Source organism: Homo sapiens, chromosome 2 (genome assembly GCF_000001405.40).
Source record: "Homo sapiens chromosome 2, GRCh38.p14 Primary Assembly".
Taxonomy (NCBI): Eukaryota; Metazoa; Chordata; class Mammalia; order Primates; family Hominidae; genus Homo; species Homo sapiens.
The window spans coordinates 205,988,287-206,008,978 of NC_000002.12; the positions used below are offsets into that span (position 1 = coordinate 205,988,287).

Here is a 20,692-nt window from a genome sequence, read left to right on the forward strand (position 1 = left end):
AGAGAGGATAAATGACCTGCCTAAGATCACACAGCTTGGAGTCAAGATTAGAACCTAGGAAGTCTGGCTCCCAAAGCCACAGCCTTAACCAACTGCTATACTGCTTCTCACTAGACCCCCTCAGTCTCTTTGGAGTACTAACTTCATTCAGTAATATTTACTATGTGCTGACACTGGGAAGCAGGCTGTGCTAGGGACTGAGCTTTTTGGAATTAAGGAAGTAGATACGGGAGCATACCTTCCAGAAGGGGACACAAACAAGTCATTACAATGAGCATGACGGGGAGGCAAGTGCACATGCTCAGGCCCTCACAACGCCAGGGTTGGGGAAGGGGCTGACTTTCCCCTTCAGAGAGCGTCGGGGAGGAGAGCTAGCCCGATAGCACTGGAATACCAGCTCCATAATTTGCTAGCTGGGAGACTCTGGAAACATGATTTAAGGTCTCTTTTTGGGCCTGTAACTAAAATAAAATAAAATAAATAAAATAAAATAAAATAATAAAATAAAATAAAATAAAATAAAATAAAATAAAATAAAATAAATAAAATAAATAAAATAAAATAAATAAAATAAATAAAATAAATAAAATAAATAAAATAAAATAAAATAAAATAAAATAAAATAAAATAAAAAAATAAAATAAAATAAAATAAAATAAAATAAAATAAAATACAAATAGATAACAGCTGTTCCCCCAAATATGTTCTTAGCTTTCTTCCTTGATCATTTACAGCTGGCTTCAACATTCAATTCTATGCCCACAGCCTCCCCATCTGTACCTCCGGCTTGGGCCTCTCTTCTGAGTGCTAGCGGAAGGGGAGCTGGCCATCTCCCCCTGGCCCCTGATCCCAGCTCAAACTATGTGTACTCAGAACCCACTGGCCCTCTCCAAACTGTAGAGTGTTCACAGCCATGCTGCCCACTTCCGTCACTGGCACCACCACTCTTCCAGAAACCCAGGGGTGAAACATCTTTGGCTCTCTCCTCTCCCCTGCCGCTCACATCTTATCACTCTGTTTCCAAGTTGTTTTGATCTCCCCTTTCCTTCCATTTTTACTTCCACAAGTAAGTGCGACTTCATTATCTAGCCTGACTACTGCAGTAGCCCCCTCCCAAATCATCTCACTGCAATCTTACCTCGATCGAGAGGAAAAATTAGATTTCCTGAGTCCCCGCTGATCATCACTCCCATTCCAGCCTTCCACATTCCTTATGCTCAGTCACCCATTAGCTTCTCTGCTCCTCACCCCTCTCCCTCACGTTAGACTCCAGACAAGCTCAACTGCTCAGTGTCCTTACACAAACTACGAGGTATCCCAACTGCTCATGCTGCTTGCTTCTCCTGGAACACCTTCTCCATTTCTGAATGTCCAAACACCGCCCATCTGTGGATGCTCTGTTCAGATCACTCTACTCAGGGAGGGGCACAGTGGCTCTCGCCTGTAATCCCAGCACTTCGGAGGCTGAGGTGGGTGGATCACTTGACATCAGGAGTTCGAAATTGCTCTCCTCTAGAAAATTTGCTCTATCCTTTGGTTGCAAATTATGTCTTCCTGACTTGAGCTTACACAGCATTTTATCATTCTACTAGGCAGTTGACAGTGTCTTTCTTGTTTGCACAGATGGTTATGCAACACTCTCCTACTAGGTGGCAAAATCCTTTGGGTGTAGAATCCAGTTGTGATTCATTCTCATGTGTCTCACTGTCCCCAACACAAACTGCCCAAAAATATAACTAAATGTATAAAAATGAATGCAAGGTCAGAAAGACAGAAAACTGGAAAGATGGGAGAAACAGCAATAGCATACTACCATGAGGTTGACTGAAACTTCAGGGTGCTAAGTGATGAGCATCATCTTTCCATCACAGGGATTTGAAGTCGGAAAAATAACTGACTATAGTCACAACATGTTAAAGAGGACTTTTCCAAAAGACATTTCTGTGAAAGGAACAAAATAACATCACTGATATGGTCTGATGTGTCTCAAATTCATGTGCTGGAAATGTAATCCCCAGTGCAAATGTTGAGAGGTGGGGCATTTTAAGAGATGTTTAGGTCATGAGGGCTGTGCCCTGATCAATGGATTAATGCCACTGTAGAAGAGTTTGATGAGGAAGTTTGTCTCTCTTTGCCCTTCCGCCCTCTGCCAGGTGAGAACACAGTATTACCCCTCTATGGAGGACACAGTGTCTCAGCAGCAGCCCTCACCAGATGCTGGTGCCTTGATCTTGGTCTTCCCAGCCTCTGTAACTGTCAGAAATAAATTTTGGTTCTTTATAAATTAATCAGTCTCTGGTATTGTGATAGCAGCACAAAACAGGCTAAGAAAATCACCTTAATGTTTAGACCCACATATTGCTGGAAGGTACAAATTAATGCAAATAAGGTCTTTAAACAATACAGGGTTAAAAAAAAAGAGAAACAGGTTTCACTTTGTTGCCCAGGATGGTCTTGAACTCCTGTGCTTAAGCAATTCTCCTGCCTCAGCCTCCCAAATGTGCTAGGATTACAGGTGTGAGCCACCATGCCCAGCCAATACAGGCTTTTTAAAGAACTATTGTTAGGCCAGGCACAGTGGCTCACGCCTGTATTCCCAGCACTTTGGGAGGCCACGGGCAGATCACCTGAGGTCATGAGTTTGAGACCAGCCTGGCCAACATGGCAAAACCCCATCTCTACTAAAAATACAAAAAAATTAGCTGGGCATGGTGGCGCATGCCTGTAGTCCCAGCTACTCGGGAGACTAAGGCAGGAGAATTGCTTGAACCCAGGAGGCAGAGGTTACAGTGAGCTGAGATCATGCCAACTGCACTGCACCCTAGCCTGGGCGACAGAGCAAGACTCTGTCTCAAAAAAAAAAATTATCGTTACCTCTTAATGAGGCAGAAGAAAGAACAAATAGGTGGAGGTATACTAAAGGGGAATTAATAAAAATATATTATCTTCTAAACTCCAATTTTTGCTTCCACTCACAATCCACAGGATCTCAGCACTACCGCTTTAAAGATGTTGCCTCAACTCAAATATTACACTAACAGGCTTGTCTCCTAAGGCTACTATTTTTTTCTTAGTCAAGAACTTAGCCAGCACAATCTCAAAAGTTTGTGCAGAGACTTAGGAAGCAACCTTAAGTAGAAAATAACAGAAGAGCTTAAAATCAGCTACCATATAACCGAAGAAACAGAACAATCCATTTCAAGCATTATCCTCCATACCTTGTCAATCTCCAATGCAGAGAAATGGAAAAAGTTCTGTTATTGTGGCCATTTTACTAGTACTGTGGCCATCTGCTTCTAGCCTCAAAATGTTAACTTCTTTTAGAGAAACAAAGGACAATTTTAGAATGTACCTTAAACATGCCTGGGTTAGAGACCAAGGAAAACAAGTTCAACTGCTCCACAAAAATAAAAAAAAAAATTGGCTGGGCATGGTGGCTCATGCTTGTAATCCCAGAAATTTGGGAGCCCAAGGCAGGCAGATCCCTTGAACCTAGTTGTTTGAGACCAGCCTGGGCAACATGGTGAAACTCTGTCTCTACAAAAAAAATACAAAAACTAGCTGGGGATGGTGGCACATACCTATGGTCCCAGCTACTTGGGAGGCTGAGATGGGAGGATCACCTGAGCCTGGGAGGTCGAGGCTGAAGTGAGCCAAGATGGCACCACTGCACTCACCTAGTGACAGGGCGAGATCCTGTCTCCAAAAAAAAATTTTTTTTAAGCGAAACTCTCTAAAGAACATGTGATCATAAGAATAGCTTGAGCCTGGGAGGTGAAGGTTGCAGTGAGCAGTGATCACACTATTGCACTCCATCCTGGGCTACAGAACGAGACTCTGTCTCAAAAAAAAAAAAAAAGGTTACTAATTTTTGTATGTGAATTTTTGCCTCTATGTGTACAACAAAACCACTTACACTAGAGCTTCCCTCAGCAACAAAAGATAGCATTAGAAAGTTGAAAAACAATTCCAAGTAAATAGTTGTTAGTATCTGCATTAGGCTGTTCTTGCACTGCTATAAAGAAATACCTGAAGCTAGGGGTGGCAGCTCACGCCTATAATCCCAGCACTTTGGGAAGCAGAGGCAGGAGGATTGCTTGAGCCCAGGAGTTCAAGACCAACCTGGGCAACACAGGGAGACTCCGTCTCTACAAAAAACAAACAAAATTAGTCAGGTATGGTGGCATGCGCCTGTAGTCCCAGCTACTCAGGAGGCTGAGATGGGAGGATCGCTTGAGCCCAAGAGATCAAGGCTGCAGTAAGCCAGGATGGTGGCTACTGCACTCCAGCCTGGGCAAGAGAGTAAGACCAGAAGACGGAAGGTAAAGGGGGAGCAGGCACATCACATGGCAGGAGCAAGAGCAAAAGAGAGGGGTGGATGGTGGGGTGGGTGGGGGATGGTTGGGTGTGCCACACACTCTTAAACAGTCAGATCTCATGAGAACTCAACTATCGGTAGGACAGCACCGAGACATGAGGAATCTGCCCCCATGACCCAAACACTTCCCACCAGGTCTCACCTCCAACACTGTGGATTACATTTCAACTTGAGATTTGGGTGAAAATATTCAAACTATATCAATGCCTTAAAGAACAAAAGTGTCCCAGCACTTTGGGAGGCCAAGGTGGGAGGATTGCTTGAGCCCAAGAGTTCAAGACCAGTCTGGGCAACATGGTGAGACCCCCATCTCTACAAAAAAATAGAAAATTAAGGGCTGGGCATGGTGGCTTATGCCTATAATACCTACACTTTGGGAGGCTGAGGCAGGAGGACTGCTTGAGCCCAGGAGTTCAAGACCAGCCTGGGCAACATGGCAAGACCCTATCTCTAAAAAACAAATAATTAAAAAATATATATATCCAGGCGGGGTGGCACATGCCTGTGGTCCCAGCTACTTAGGAGGCTGAGGTGGGAGGACTGCTCAAGCCAGGGAGGTTGAGGCTGCAGTGAGCCGTGATTGTACCACTGCACTCCAGCCTGAGAAACAGAACAAGATGCTGTTTCAAAAAAAAAAAAAGTTTCTTCGAGTTTTGTATTGTTTTTTTAATTTTGGCTATAAAACATGAAGTTGTTCTTATATTTGTGAAACTATGAAAATGAAGACAGAAGAGGCTTCTGATTTAAAGAAACAGAAATTGGCTTGTAAGACTTCCATTATAGCATATAACAATTTCAAATGCAAATTCTAGTTGAACAAAGGCTGGTTACCATATCAAAAATCACTTTGGATAGAATTTGATTGATCCACGGCTATTACAAATATTAATTATTGTTAGTTCAACCATAAAAATCATGAATATATCTGCCTAGAGTTATTGGTGAAACACAAGATATTAAAAAATACTGTATTCAAATAAAGGTAGAAAAATACTTACCCTGGATTAGCAGCTTCCATCAATATCCCAGTATAGAAAATTAAACTAAAAACAAGGCTACTTCACAGCAAGATTTATTAATACATCCAAAAGAAAGAAAGAAAAATGATTTTGTCACACTATATACAGATAATACATACAGTGTTTCATACACATATTACATCAGTTTTTACACAAGAAAAATATACATAAAAATGTAAACTTTTGTATACAAAAACCCTTAAACAAATTAAACAAGGACCAGATAACAAAAGGAGACCAATTCATTATTATTTCATCAAATTTTTAAAACAGTAATACAGTACATTCATTGAGATATATATGGAAAATGTGAGCCATCTCTTCTTGTTTAAAGGGAAATTACAAACCAAAAGTCAATCGCCTCCCAAGACGTGGTCCTCCCAGCAATGCCGCACCCAATGCCACAAGTATGCCTGTCCACCAGAACTGGGGGCTCTTACCAAAACCTGCCCATCTCCTCATCTTGCTCCTACAGTCTGTGCAGAAACAAGTGGCTCCTAACTTTTGTGCATATAATTAAACTCCCAGCCACTATGAACACAAATACAGAGGAGAGATTGTCAGTTTGTAAGTTCCCTTTAAGCGGCTTTTATATTTTTGTATTTATTTTTAATGCATGGCCTGTTAAACATACTTGGGTGCCAAGGTGAATGAGAACACTGAAAAAGAAGGGCTTTGAGAACCGCTAGTCCTTGCTACCGTGCAGTTTCTTTGTTAGAAGAGATTTTAAAACTGTCCAACCTGTCTCATTTGCTGGTTTCAAATAAGCTACCTCACCTTTGATTTCCCACTGCAACTTGGTTTCAACTTACACTTCAGTACTCTAGTTGTTAGTACCATACAATTGCCAAGAGGCTTTTTGTTAAAGGCTACTTCTGATATCAGGTTCCAGCTAAGCTACTCAGTAAAATGGCTCAAACCCCAGCCTCTCTATTTTAGTCTTCAGGAGTACTCTTACTTCACTGTTTTTTGTAACATCTTACAATTTAGGATTGTCCATCTACCTTCCTCTCTCTGCAAGTTCTTGAGATGTAATCTGCTGCCAACTCTTCACAAAATAAAATAATATTTAATCGTTCTTCCTTAATAGTCTTGCATTCAGTGTGTCAAATTGATGTACTAATGAAAAATACCTAAACTGTGGGGAATAAGAATTAAATCTATTTCAAGCACATGCAACTTGGAACTCGCAAAAAAAAAAAAAAAAGAAAGAAAGAAAGAAAGAAAAAAGAGTTTGGGAGGGCCCTTAACTAAAATGTGCTTAAGACAGCTTCATGAGAGAGCTGCCTTCTTTCAAATTTGAATTTTGAACAAGGCAAAATAACAATTAGGTGATATATTTCCCTGCAGCATGGGAGTAGTTAACTTCCCCCAGGCAAAATGATCTCAATAATCATTATTTATTAATGAAAGGAGGAGGCAAATTGGTGAATTAAGTTGATCTAGGAGATGGTGGCTGACATACACTAACGGAAATATTAGGATTGCTTTATAAGTGAAATAAACAGTCTGGTCTGTGGAACATCTCCACTTCAGAGAGAGGAAAAATGCACAAAGCTCCTCAAGTGAATCTCCAGCTCTTTCTTACTCTCATGGGACAGATGGCATTTTTAAAATGACAGTCTCCCTTTCAGTTAAGAAAAACACAACAATAAAAGGAAAAGGAAGATAAATAAATAGTGTGTGGATGTCTTTAGATGAGACTTTAAATGTTCTTTAAATAACTTTTGATAATGTATTTTAAATCATTACATACAACTGCCACTGCAGTGACAATATTCCAGTAGGGGCAGCATTTTGCTAAATGTAAAAGATTGCCATTTAAAACTCATACATATACATGTGTATATACAGTTATATCAACACTATTTATATACATATATATCTGGAGAGCAATATTTCATTGCCTTTGAATATCTATATATCTACTCCCACAATATATACTAGAGACATACTGTGTGAGTACATACGAAAGCATATGTACACATGCTCTGACATGTATATATACACTTTTGTCTGTGTGTGCATAAGAGCTTTAAAGGCACAATATATAGGGATGCAAGTTTTCTAGAGAGCTGCAGCAAAGTTAATACAGAATGTCACAAACTGAGAAAAGTCAAAAGGAAATATAGCAGAATTCATCACACAGGAATTCATCAAAGCAGTTTCATCATGAGAAAAATGAGTTAGTTACAGAATTCAAGAGGCTAACATGTGACCTTGTATGCTTTCCATTAAAATGTAAATGGTGAAGTTATGATTAAACTACAAAGCAAATAAAAATATGTAAATGACAAATTAATGACAGTAAGTGTGGAAATAAACCTAACACTAATATCGATCATAAAATCATAATTATGTTCTTTTGTAATTTAAGTAAAATGTCCCCAAATTATTGAGCTAAAACTTTCAAATTTGTTTTATTTGAAGGTTGGCTTTCTGTTTGTTTTTGAGACAAAGATGAATGCCCAAGTCTCAAAATTCCTATTGATAATATTACCAAAACTTGTATCTTCTGGGAAAATTTCAGAGATAAAGATCTTTAAAAGAAATAACAGAGAAGTTGATGAAATATGCTTAAGCCAGATGCTTCTGGCTAGAAGAGACAGAATTAAGGGGGAAAAAAACCACAATGATGTGTGATTTTTTTTTTTTTTTTAAGTGATGAAAGACTGACCAGTAGAAGGTGGTGAAGATGAAGAATAGTGGAACTGGCAAGTAAGAACTGTTCAGACAAGCATTCATTGTGTAATATCCATAAACAAAACTATAATCCAAAGGACTTCCATTTTAGTATGTTCTGATGATGTACTCTAGACTGTCACCTCCTCTGGCTTACAGAATAATCCAGAACTTTCCATAGACATTAATCTTGCTTAACAAAGGCTGTTTACCTATTATACACACACATTTTTAAGGGAAATATATGTATATAGCTTTATCTATACACACACATATACATACGTGTATATATAGATTTATACAAATGTATAAATAAACATAATACTTTTCAATCTTTCCATTGACAAGGCAAGTTCACATTCAGCAAAGTGCCACCACATCCCATATACACATCTCTGTACAGATATACACATAAGGGTCTGTTTTCACCCTTCAACCGGGAGAATTTTTTCTAGCAAATCCCATTAACCAGCAACTGAAGGGAGAAATGGCACCAGTACAAACTCCCTTCTTTCATTTGCATGCATATGTACAAGAAATATGCAGATCTAAAAAAAAATCCCAAAACAAGAGTGAATGAAACCAGGAGATGCTGCAAAAATACAACTGTAGAAAAGAACAGCATATAGAGCTTTCCTAGATCTTCACTATATCTAAGATGAAGTAAATGATGCTCAAGAGACAACTACAAATTCAGGTATATTATCAGAAGTTGCTTTGACATATTTCAAAGTACATGATTTTTTAAGTATTAAAAATAAATGTCATTGGAACATTTAATACCAACTCTACTTTTGACTATTTCAGACCACCAGATACTCCAGTAATAAATGTATAGCAAAATAACAACTTAAAACTCAAAATAAAGGGATGTATTTTTTTTTAATTCCATATGAATCAGGGGTAGCACAATTTTCCTATAGCTGAAATATGGGGATGGGAGCACTCTTAAGTTAATAAATAACAGCAGAACTGAGTAAAAGTTTTTTGAAAAATTTTGGAAATAAATGAAATCACCCCAGCTTTGAAATATGCACGGTGAAATGATCCCACCAACTCCTTAAACAAAGCAGCCCCTTCCAAAAATTGTTTATGAAAGGCCTATACTTTTTCTTAACTTCACCAAGAAAAGATGATCAACAATATTTTCTTACTCGAATATAAAGAAATCTATAATTAACATAAAAAAGATTCAATAGATCTGTGGTCCCATCACCACAATAGATAAACACAGCTCATGTCTGGGGCTGTCTGTCTCCCTCTCTTATTTTTATGCTCGAAAGTGAGAGGCTGATCTTAGAACCTCCTGTTTCTCATGTCATTTTATGAACATAGCATAATATAAGTTAATCCAAAGGTTAACATAAAATGCACATGATATCAGAGCTAGCCTTTTAACATAAGATAACATAATGATTAATTTGGTGTATTTATACAACAGAGACAATGAGAAAGTAACTCCAATACCCTCAACTAAATAAATCATGTTTCTACAATACATTCGGTTACCTTTATCTATTTTTATATAAGCACACATTCATATCTCTCACACACGTGCCCCCAATGTATATTTTTGCATGTGTGTAAAAAATACAGACATATACATGCACACAAGTAATTTAGTTCTATTTTAAAGTCACAGTGGGAATTCCTTAGTGAGGAGGGATAAAAAGTTCCTGAATAAGACACTGAGAACATCTAGATTTATTATTTTCTCTATTTTACTTCCCAACTTACAGAATAAACTGTAAATTAAAGAATAACTCCATAGGAAATAAAAGAGGTCTTACAAACTTAGTTTACAAATTCCAGCTACAGTAGTTGGAGTTTTACTTGATCTATGTATTTCTATGTACCCTGTAACTAAGCTTCTAGCCATCTTAAGTGTAAACCACAGATCATTTACTAAAGAACATGATTCTCAACAGTTCTAGGAACAGTTATAAATGGTCTAAAGGTGTTCTACATTTTGAGGCCCCAGGATATCCTTTTATTTTATATATCTGCAAGGTAGCAAAGGATAGCTATACACCTTGACACGGCAGAGATCCAGTGTAAAAAGGTGCTTCACTAGTTTGTTTTGTCAAAAAAAAAAAAAAAAAAAAAAGCTCATATATATTTAGCTATTAAACACATAGGCAACATAATTCATTACACTCGATACAGCTTTAGTATAAAACTTATAATTTATGAGGTGATGTTAATAGCATAAATTAATATACCTTTTCTCTTAAAATCTACAATAAGTATTCTGAAAGCTCATTGGGGAAGGAAATTTTTAAATAAAAGTTTTAAAGCTGTGCGTGATGGGAAAGGATTCTGTATTCTGAAGCTGAGATGAGAGCCTGGAGGAGAAAGGAAAAAGTCCTATGCAAGACACTGTGGGCTACAAAACCAAATGTTTCCTCTTTCTTCCGCTCTCTTCAATGATGAGTCACCTTTAGTTTCTTTTAAAACTATTTTCTTATTTTAAAAACTGCCCTAATTTCCACAAGGAATCCCTGAGACATACTCAATACTATACAGTGAAAAGAACTATCACTGTTGAGAGGAACAGATTCAACCCTTCCAAACAGATGAAGACAATGTCAACAAGTGTCAGACTTCCCATCATTTCAGCACTAATCCACTGGAGCCAACTGTACCTTAATGATGCAGGTTGGAGTCATTTTAGGGCAAATCAGTCTATTCCCCCAGGTAGAACCAATGGTGTGGCATTTAGCTGCACTGGAGCCTTCTGCACTGCGTGTTGAAAATTTTTCCAAGGGGAACTTTGGGTGCATACAGAGCTTACTTCAGTGGTCCCCAGCTTAAAAAACAAACAAACAAAAACAAACAAACGAAGAAAAAAGAAACAAGTGAAAGAAGAGGATTCTATGACTCTTCGGGCGGGATGGGTACAGATCATATGTGCGTGTGCATTCTTCGGGACTGTGGTGGGCAGACGCAAGAAGGCGAAAGAGAAGATGGAAAGCTGTGCTGCCCTATGGAGCTCACTGAGAGTTAGATTTTTCTCTTATACGAGTATTGATCTAAACTTTAGATCACTAAAAACTGCTGTTCAAAGTAGCCAAACATCCCCAGTATTGGGGAACATAGGGTAAAAAAGTCATACCCAATTTGCTTGCTCTCTCTCTGAAACGTCACATTTCCTCTTATTAGCTCTGTATCACAGTGCAGAGAAAAACTAACAAAAAAAAATAAGGGCTGAAGTGAAAACAGAATTTTTGCTATTTAGAAATAAGGCTCCCTAAGTTTGACCCACAACTGCAGCATTAATGACACTGTTTATTAGAAGAGACATAACTATTCATTTATGTTTTATGTTTTCTTTCCTAATTCATTAGTCAGGGAAAAATGCTTAACAGATATCCAAACATGTCCTTCACTGGTATTTTATTACAAATTATTGGAAAGGTAGTATTTAAAATGTTACTTTAATCTACTAAACATGATTCTGGTTTCCTCCAGAATATAGGAAAATGTATAAAGATGTTAAGACATTATTAAACTGTTTTAACTTTTCTACAGAATGCCAGTGAAGATTCAGTTAATGTATTGGGCGGGGGGAAACATCTATGTTCTTTCATATATATATATAAAAAACTCTCCACTCCCGAGAAATATATTTTTTGTCAGGAAAAAAATCCTTGGAACAATGTAAATACTGGTAACAAAAGAGATACAAATGAGGACTGTTCAGTATGATGAAATTTTCTTTCAAGGAATCCTCTAAATTGCCTCATTAAACTGGAGAGTTCTGTTGACCATTTAGAAGACCATAATATTAGATTTCTATATATACCAGATTAAGAACAGTATTTTTAAAGAAGTCTGAAAAGAAAGATGAAGAAACTGAAAACTAATTTTTAATGAATTTCAAACCTCTTAATAAGTTTAGTGTTCATATACTCATCTTTTTGCAATACCAACCCATAGCGACCTTCTGAACTAACCTGGAGGAGAGGAGATTGCCTTACACGTGCACTGCTGACCGATGATGCCCACTGACCATCACCAGCACCCCTAGGATGCCAAGGCACGGCAAAGACGGCGGGCAAGCATCAGCGGACTGACCACACGGCATTTACTAGATATGCTCAAATTCTAATCCCACTTTATAAAAACAGAATGGTATAGGTCAACAGAAAGGTCAATTCTTTCATGTAAGAAGAAAACCGTATGGACAGGGCACCTCTGTGCATCCCAAACATGGTTTCCTTCCTAATCAAAGAGTTGTCTTTGCCACTGTGGACTGTGATCACAGATTGAGAACAAGCTCTGATAAGGAAGAGCTTTAGTGTCAGTCACAGAAAATGATGATTCTTAACTGCAGGTGAGAGATTGGGCTTATTTAAAAATAAATCTTATAAATAATTATTTGGCAAAGATAAAGTATCAGCTTTCTTTAGCCTCAAGCCACTAAAGACAGTAACACCAATTTTAAGGAAAAAAAATAATAACCTCACTTTCCAACTTGCTCCCCATGCCTACTATTTGTTTCTGATTAAATTATAGTCTTCTCATAGAGGGGCACTAGACACACCACACTGCCTGCCAACATGAAATTGCTCAGGAAGTCATTTATAAAGCAGTTATATCACACATGGTAGGTCACCAGAGAAAATAATCCTTTGCTGTCTAAGCTATGTGACGATAATTAGAAAATTTTTCCATTGCATAGTCTGTCACTTGGTGGGTTAAGTATAATTGCTACTTACTATTGAGTTGTTTACTAGCTACATAACCTACCCAGATGTGCAAATTGCTAAGCCATTTTTACAGAAGAAAAAACAATGTCTTAAGTACTTTAATTAAAATAATATTAATAATTATGTAGAGAGAGTAAAGGAGAAAAAGCCCATCTTTTCTTCAGATACTACTGATCATAGCCAGTGAATATCACACATTAGAATGGAATTCAGATTCTCAGAGCACAGAATGTATCCATTAACTGCAGCAACTTTGTAAATTAAATCACAGTAACACAATCTAACTGGCCTTTATAAATAGTCCCAAAGAACTGCAGAAACAGAGTGAAACTTCTTTGCCACTATTTCTCCTGGGTTCAACACTAGAATAAAAGCTAGTTTCTACCTATTTAGGACCTTATATAAGATTTGTTTTTCATTCCAGTATTGCCTTGTGATAGCATAAGTGCTATTTTAAAAGATACTAATTTTCATATTTCTGGAGTAAAAGCCACTTCATTCCTTTCTATACATATTAATAGCAAAGTTCCTACTAATAGACGAGAATGGCTCTATTAAGTAAAAGAAAAACACAGATCTCTCTGGGCTTATAGATGTTCTCCTCTCTTCCAAAAAGGGACTCATAAGAAACAGCAAGAGCAAAGCAAATTGCAAACTTTGATATCTGTTTTGAACTAGATAAAATAAGAGGAAAAGTTTGTTGTTGATAATTCCTCAACCACTTTCCTCAGCTTTCATCATGGGCATCCAAACGAAAATGTATTTACTCAAAGTTTTTGGTGTGAAGCTGTAACTAGCAACATTCCTGATAATTTCATGCCTCCTTACTAGAAAGCAGAGAAGGGCTTTTAAATGCACATAAAACAGAAAATTGCAAACAATAAAATGTGCAACTTACTGCAAACTCAGCTTTGTATCATAACTGAAGAATTTCAAGCAGCTAACATGAGGGGACAAGTAGACAGAAAAAGTTCAAATCGACTACCCACGACTTTCCCTTCCTTGTCAAAGGGCTGATGAGGAAGTCAATGTGCTGCTCTGCGACAACCTTTAAATACACAATGGAGACTAAACTGAACTGCTGGGAATGGACAGTTATCTAGTTATGCTTATGATGGTTGTGAAAATAGTTTAACAAACTAAATGACATTTTTGAGCCGAGGTAACTACTCGTGACCACTTCATTACAGTACATTAAAATAAAAAAGCTTACTAATATAGACTCACAGGTGAGAAATATTCAAATTATCTGTTCTCACCATTCAGAATAGAAATTTATGGTGATACCAAATATAATTTTGCTTTATGACATAAGTTATAATTTAGAAATTTTGCACTCTGCAAAAAAGGCAAAGCTATTAAAAATAAATCTTCCAATCAATTACCATGATTTTAAAAAAACTAAATATATTACAAACATATTTTTGGCCCACAAAAAGAAACATCAATAAATACAAAATAGGGCATATAATGATTTCATACAGTCATGTGACATTTCCCCTCCATAACCTCAGGCACGTGGTATCTGCATAATGCCTGCTGATCACCATCATTCCTTTAAAAAGCAGAGAAAGAAAAGCTTTCAAAAGAAGGGACTGGTTAGAACTAGCATGGCATAAAGAGATTACATACAGGAAGTAGGAAAATACATCCAATCACTACCTATTAGAAAGGAATTAAGATCAAATATTCCCTGACAAATGAATTATTGAACCACATCAATAGGTATGTTCTCTCAACTTTTAAAATATATATATATGTGAATTAGACTAGACTCAGGTATAAATAGCCAATGGTATCTCAAGGGACAGTGAAACTACTCAGCAAAAGCAGAGTAGAGATGCCTTTAAAATCTAGTTCCACCCTTCTCTGGGGGGGAAAAAAGGTAGGCAAGAAACCTCACAAATTCATCTCATAGTCACAAACTTCCTAAACTACCCCATATGATCTTTAACCCCTAAAATCCTGGCATTTTAAAAACATTTCCCAAAGCTATTTTCAAATTTACTTAAACCCAAGTACTTGAATTATTTTAAAAGGACCAAAGGGCGAATAAAATTTATATCTAATTTCCATATTCTGCTTTGAAAGAAACTTTAAAATGTGTATCCTTCAGATATTACACATCACTTCACAACTGGTACACTGATTCTACAAGTGTCTTAACATTTTACAAATCTTACCAAAGAATCACTACTGTAAACATGAAAAATTCAAAAGCAAAAGATGGATCAAGGAGTTGACAGATCCCATCTTTTCAAATCTATCTGACCTATCCTGCTTTTTCACATCAAAATATTTTCTTTAATTACATCTTGCAAATGTATTCCATGAGAGAGGGATTTAGAAACAAACAAATGTCTGAAAAGACAAAGTGACCATCAGGCCCCAGAACCCCGGCAGCCTGCAGTCATCCCAGGCAAGCTTTTTAGGACATCCCTACCTCACTGACGGGAATCCAAGCTTTCTATGTTCTGTTTCTTCTTGGGCTAACTTTTAGCAGAAAAAGGTTGTGCTACTCACACGACCAGTCCACCACCCTCCCTATTCAGGAAACTTGAGGAAAAGAAGGACCAACCTTATTAGGACTGTGAGATGTAGGACAGGAGAAAAGTAAGAGTTTTATACTCATTAAGTAGGGGGAAGGGGAGAACAAAAAAAAATCAAACTAATGGGACAGCTGCTTCCTGCACTGCACAAAAACACACGCGTGGGCACACGCATACTCACAGGCAGTCAAAAGACACATTTTTTTCTTTTAGTTAAACATGATCACAATTACGAATGGAATCCTGGCCTCACTGTGGTGTTTAGCAGTTGGTGCTAGGTCAGAATCTTGACCTGCCACACACCATTTGCTGTCTCTTATACAGGAACTCAATTAATAAGATCATTCTATCTAGAACCACCTATGTAAAAACCTGGCAACAGAATGGAAAGCACTGATCTGAATACTAGGAAATAGTAAAGGGCACTGGTATTCTGAGGTATCTTCCACTTCTAGGACTTGCTGCTAAAAATCAATCCTATCCAGTCACTGTGCTGAACCACTAAGGAAACCACTGGGGCGGAGTGGGCCTGCCAGGAGGGAATGAGCACCAGTGCTAAGGAGCACATGTGAACACTGTAGCGAGGTCCACTGCAGGGCCACTCATTGAACTGGGAAGGGGGGTGCCCCTCTGATCCCCATCTGTTATATCTTCTTTAGGAAAAGGGGAGAGGGGTGCTAAAGAGGAAACAAAGATAGAAAACACTGGGTTCCCCACCTGCCTGCAAACACACAGACACCCTCAGTTAGGGGAGGGAAAGGGAGAAGATGCATTATTGGTACTTGTAGCTGTGGCACCTGTTACTGTGAAGCCTGTAGGAGGGGCTATAGAGCTGTGGCTGGGCTGCAGGTCCTTAGGAATGCCACTGTGAGAACTCAGCTGGTGGCCAAAGGCTGCGCTGAACTGAGGGAGTTGCTGCTTGGGAGAGGTGGAGGCCATTAGTTCAGCAGAAGGCCCCATGCCACTGAAGCTGGTCTGTGGTAACCCCGGAAGCACACTGGAGCTGCTGGGGGTCACGGTGGCGAAGGCAGGCTGTGTGGTCTCTGAGTTCGAAGTGGTGGGTGGCGTGGATAGGGAAGTGGAAAGAAGATGTCCATCTGCGCCGAGAAGGTTGCTAAATGGAGAGGGGTCTCCAAGGTTGACAGGGAGATTGCCCCAGTGAGTTCTGGGGTTTACCACGCCTCCAAGTGGCACCTCAAGTTGGGTTGGGAGCAAGTGCTGCGCCATGATGGGCATCTCTGCTGAAAAGGTAGCTGCCATATTATCACCAGAGTACGATGTTGTGTGGGGAGAGGTGATATGGTCACTGTAGGGAGACGGCACATGCTCACTATCATAATGGCTTCCATGGGGTGAGGAGTGTGAGTGATCACTGCTGTATTGCTGTCGTGAGGTGATTAGGTCATCTGCCTTGCTCAGCAGCTGGGCAGGATGTGGCCTCTGGGAGGCATGGCTGCCGTCATGAAGTCCATGAAACTGTCCTGGGAAGGCTCTCTCCCCAAGTGCACTCTGGCTGATCAGAGTGGCAGAAGTAAGGCCAACGTTGGCTGGGGCAGAGAACTGCCCCTGGATCTGCCCTGCCAGGGGTGTAGGTGGGTTTGACAAGGTAGCAGAACGGAGCAGGTTCTCATCCAGCTCTAGACTAGAAAAATTATCATGTACTATACGCCCATTCAATAGCTCCCCTAGGTCTGTGTTCACCTCTCGGCTCAAGGATTGTATTCCTGAAGCTCCAGTACCTGTGGAGAACACCCCTATTCCTCTATCTGACAACTCCTGGACTGGCACACCATCTGACTGGGCAAGGACCCCAATGGTACTCAGGCACTCGAGAGAAGTTACAGCCTGCAAGGCCCGTTCAAGCTCCTCAGCCTCTTCGGTAGTTGGGAGGAGGTCTCCATTCTTCCCTGAGTCAACAAAAGCCATCGACAATCAGTAGAGCTTTTACCAGTTCTACATCACAAAAATCACACATTTGAATTATTTTAAACAATATTCGATTTAAAGAGTCCCTCTTGAAAAGAAAAGTTTCCAAGATTTTGATTGGAGGGAAAAAGTGAAATAATGGTCTGCAGGACAGGGTCTGTAACGTCAGCTACCTAGGAATTTGAATCACCATCTTCAGTTGATTTACTGAATACCATCTCAAAAACCATCTTATCAAAGTACTAAATTCTTAGGAATTCTAAGGATTACAAATTTAAAGCTCATGGTGACTATGTGATTATACGTGTTTTTAACCTAAAATAATATTATCATCATTAACATAGAAAACATATATCAACTTGGATTTGAGAGAAAAGGCTGTGTAGAACAGGTCCACCTTGCCTGTTCTACTCCTGACTCTCCCAGCTGGAGGGCAGCTGTGGAAGGTTAAAACACAGAAATTCATACATCTATTTGAGCACAACACTAAGCTCTCAGTTCATTTCACGGGTTATCTTTCAAAATGCTTTTGCTTTACTCTCTAATCCTTTCCCCTCATCCTCTTCCCATTTCTTACTAATTTTCATAAAATGGAAGCCCATGGACCTACTTTGATTTCATTTCTAATATTTAAAAAATCTATTGTTAGGAACTTGATTAATCACCATGGAAATATTCGATTTTTAATGGTGAAAGAAACATTCTAAAAGTATAAAATATTTCCCCTGAAAGCATGGGGGAATTGGCAGGATTAAGCAAACTTCGTTTTGGAAAAGTGCACTTCAGTTGAAGTACAGGGTGGGGTATAAAACTAGGGCAAGTTCTAAAAGACTTCAAAACTCATGTTCGGCTGGGCGCGGTGGCTCGTGCTTGTAATCCCAGCACGTTGGGAGGCCAAGGCAGGTGGATCACCTGAGGTTGAGAGTTCGAGACCAGCCTGACCAACATGGTGAAACCCCGCCTCTACTAAAAATAGAAAAATTAGCTGGGCATGGTGGCAGACACCTGTAATCCCAGCTACTCGGGAGGCTGAGGCAGGAGAATCGCTGGAACATGGGAGGCAGAGGTTGCAATGAGCCAAAATGGCGCCACTACATTCCAGTCTGAGCGACAGAGCGAGACTCCATCTCAAAAAAAAAAAAAAAAAGTCATATTCGAGATGTCTTTGTTCAAAAATAAAGCAAAAGTATTCACTTTAAAGAAACAACGTTGGGCCAGGTGTGGTGGCTCATGCCTGTAATCCCAGCACTTTGGGAGGCCAAGGCGGGTGGATCACTTGGGGCCAGGAGTTCAAGACCAGCCTGGCCCACACTGCGAAACCCCACCTCTACTAGAAGTACAAAAATTAGCCAGGCGTGGTGGCACATGCCTGAAATCCCAGCTACTCGGGAGGCCGAGGCGAAAGAATCGCTTGAACCCGGAGGCAGAAGCTGCAGTGAGCCAAGATCGTGCCACTGCACTCCAGCCTGGGCGACAGAGTGAGACTCTGTCTCCAAAGAAAAAAGAAACAAGTTATAAACCTAGTCAGCAAATTATGAGATGGTTAAACAAACTGCACATTCCTTATCTTCTGAAAGGGTTAAAATAGCTGCAGTGGCATTATATTTCCTATCTACAGTGAAAGACATTACATGTGAGGAGGAATATGATAAACACATCTCAAAACACTATTTCTTTTCTTATAAACTCATTTTTAAAACCAGTTTCCTTGAGTCAAAATATTGACTATACCTTCAAAAAAATCAAAATCTTGTAAGTCATCAGGTAGCCGTGGCAGGACATCTGAAAAGTCCTCCTGGTTCAATTCCAAGTCATGTGGAATGTCAGTGATCTCATTGGCAATGTCATCCGGCAACTCATCAGCACTCAGCTCTGGCGTGGATGGGCTCCTGGGAAAGAGGACACTGTTGGTCCCATAACTCCCCCATTATCTTCACATCAATACCACCAAGCCAAGTTCATTCAACATGAAAAGAAGCTAACGTCAGGCAGGGCACAGTGGCTCACACCTGTAATCCCAGCACTTTGGGAGGCCAAGGTGAGAGGATCACTTGAGGGCACGAGTTCGAGATCAGCCTGGTCAACATGGCAAAACCTTGTCTCTACTAAGAATACAAAAATTAGCTGGGCATGGTGGTGCACACTTGTAATCCCAGCTACTCAGAAGGCTAAGGCATGAGAATCACTTGAAACTAGGAGGCGGAGGTTGCAGTGAGCTGACATCACACTACTGCACTCCAGCCTGGGCAACAGGTCGAGACTCTGTCTCAAAAAAAAAAACAACCAAAATCAAAAAACAAGCTAATAATGTCTTTTAGGTTTTTTATTTAAAGGTCAGAAAGCCCCGGCAGGTCTTGAACCCAAGCACAGGGATTAGACAGATGGAAAGTAAGGAAGTAACCACCTGAGCTAAAGCCAATCCTAATGTCTTCTAGGTTTTTTTTTTTAGACAGAGTTTCACTCTTGTTGCCCAAGTTGGAGTGCAATGGCGCAATCTCGGCTCACTGCAACCTCCACCTCCTGAGTTCAAGAGATTCTCCTTTCTCAGCCTTCAGAGTAGCTGGGATTACAAGCGCCCACCACTATGCCAAGCTAATTTTTGTTTGTTTTTAGTAGAGACGGGGTTTACCCATGCTGGCCAGGCTGGTCTCGAACTCCTGACCTCAGGTGATCCACCCACCTTGGCCTCCCAAAGTGTTGGGATTACAGGCATGAGCCACCATGCCTTGCTTTTTTTTTTTTTTTTGAGATGGAGTCTTGCTCTGTCGCCCAGGCTAGAGTGCAGTGGCATGATCTCGGCTCACTGCAACCTCCACCTCCCGTGTTCCAGCGATTCTTCTGCCTCAGCCTCCTGAGTAGCTGGGATTACAGGTGCTCGCCACCACACCCGGCTAATTTTTGTATTTTTGGTAGAGATAGGGTTTCACCATCTTGGCCAGGCTGGTCTCGAACTCCTGACATCATGATCCACCCACCTCGGCCTCCCAAAGTGCTGGGATTACAGGCATGAGCCACCGCACCTGGTCCTAGGTTTTTTATATTCAACAGAAACATGAGAAACCCTAACTTACAGTGTCTCCTCCCCTATTTTAAAAGAAGGAAATCTGAAAGTAGAGTCACTGCAAAAATACATGCCTCACCATATGCAGTCATATTTCTGCAACCTTCACCCATGTATTAAGAGGCAACAACAACTACTAGGTAATACTTTTACTTCAAATTTGTACAATGAATCACAATTTGGTGTATCAAGTGTGTCTTAATGCTTTTTAGTAGAATTTCAAATCTGGTTGAAATAATAATTTTAGAAATGAAATTAACAACAGGTAAAATTGAAATGCTTAGCTAAAACAAAAGCTTCATTCTTCTGGTCAAAATGTTTAACCCTGCCAAAATAAATAATGCCTCATATTTCTGATGGAATAC

The 20,692-nt window shown here is 39.6% G+C and overlaps 1 protein-coding gene across 8 annotated transcripts in view, besides 1 other annotated feature; it reads right to left on the minus strand.

Moving 5' to 3' along the window:
* Positions 1-5,434: 5,434 nt before the first annotated feature.
* The window catches only part of INO80D (INO80 complex subunit D), a 92,454-nt gene continuing 77,196 nt past the window's right edge, over positions 5,435-20,692 (minus strand). For all 8 annotated transcript variants that reach the window (XM_047444830.1, XM_011511375.3, NM_017759.5 and 5 more), the window contains 2 exons: positions 18,998-19,155; positions 5,435-17,247 (listed from right to left, as the gene is read on the minus strand). In XM_047444830.1, the coding sequence (XP_047300786.1) occupies positions 16,082-17,247; positions 18,998-19,155 (1,324 nt within the window). In that variant the 3' untranslated portion in view covers positions 5,435-16,081. The remainder of the gene's footprint in view (positions 17,248-18,997; positions 19,156-20,692) is intronic.
* Positions 15,878-16,456: an enhancer, noted in NCBI's record as "H3K27ac-H3K4me1 hESC enhancer chr2:206868888-206869466 (GRCh37/hg19 assembly coordinates)". NCBI's record gives its function as "activates a minimal SCP1, AML or CMV promoter by ChIP-STARR-seq in naive H9 embryonic stem cells {active_cell/tissue: H9 hESC(naive)}" and the evidence as "EXISTENCE:reporter gene assay evidence [ECO:0000049][PMID:30033119]".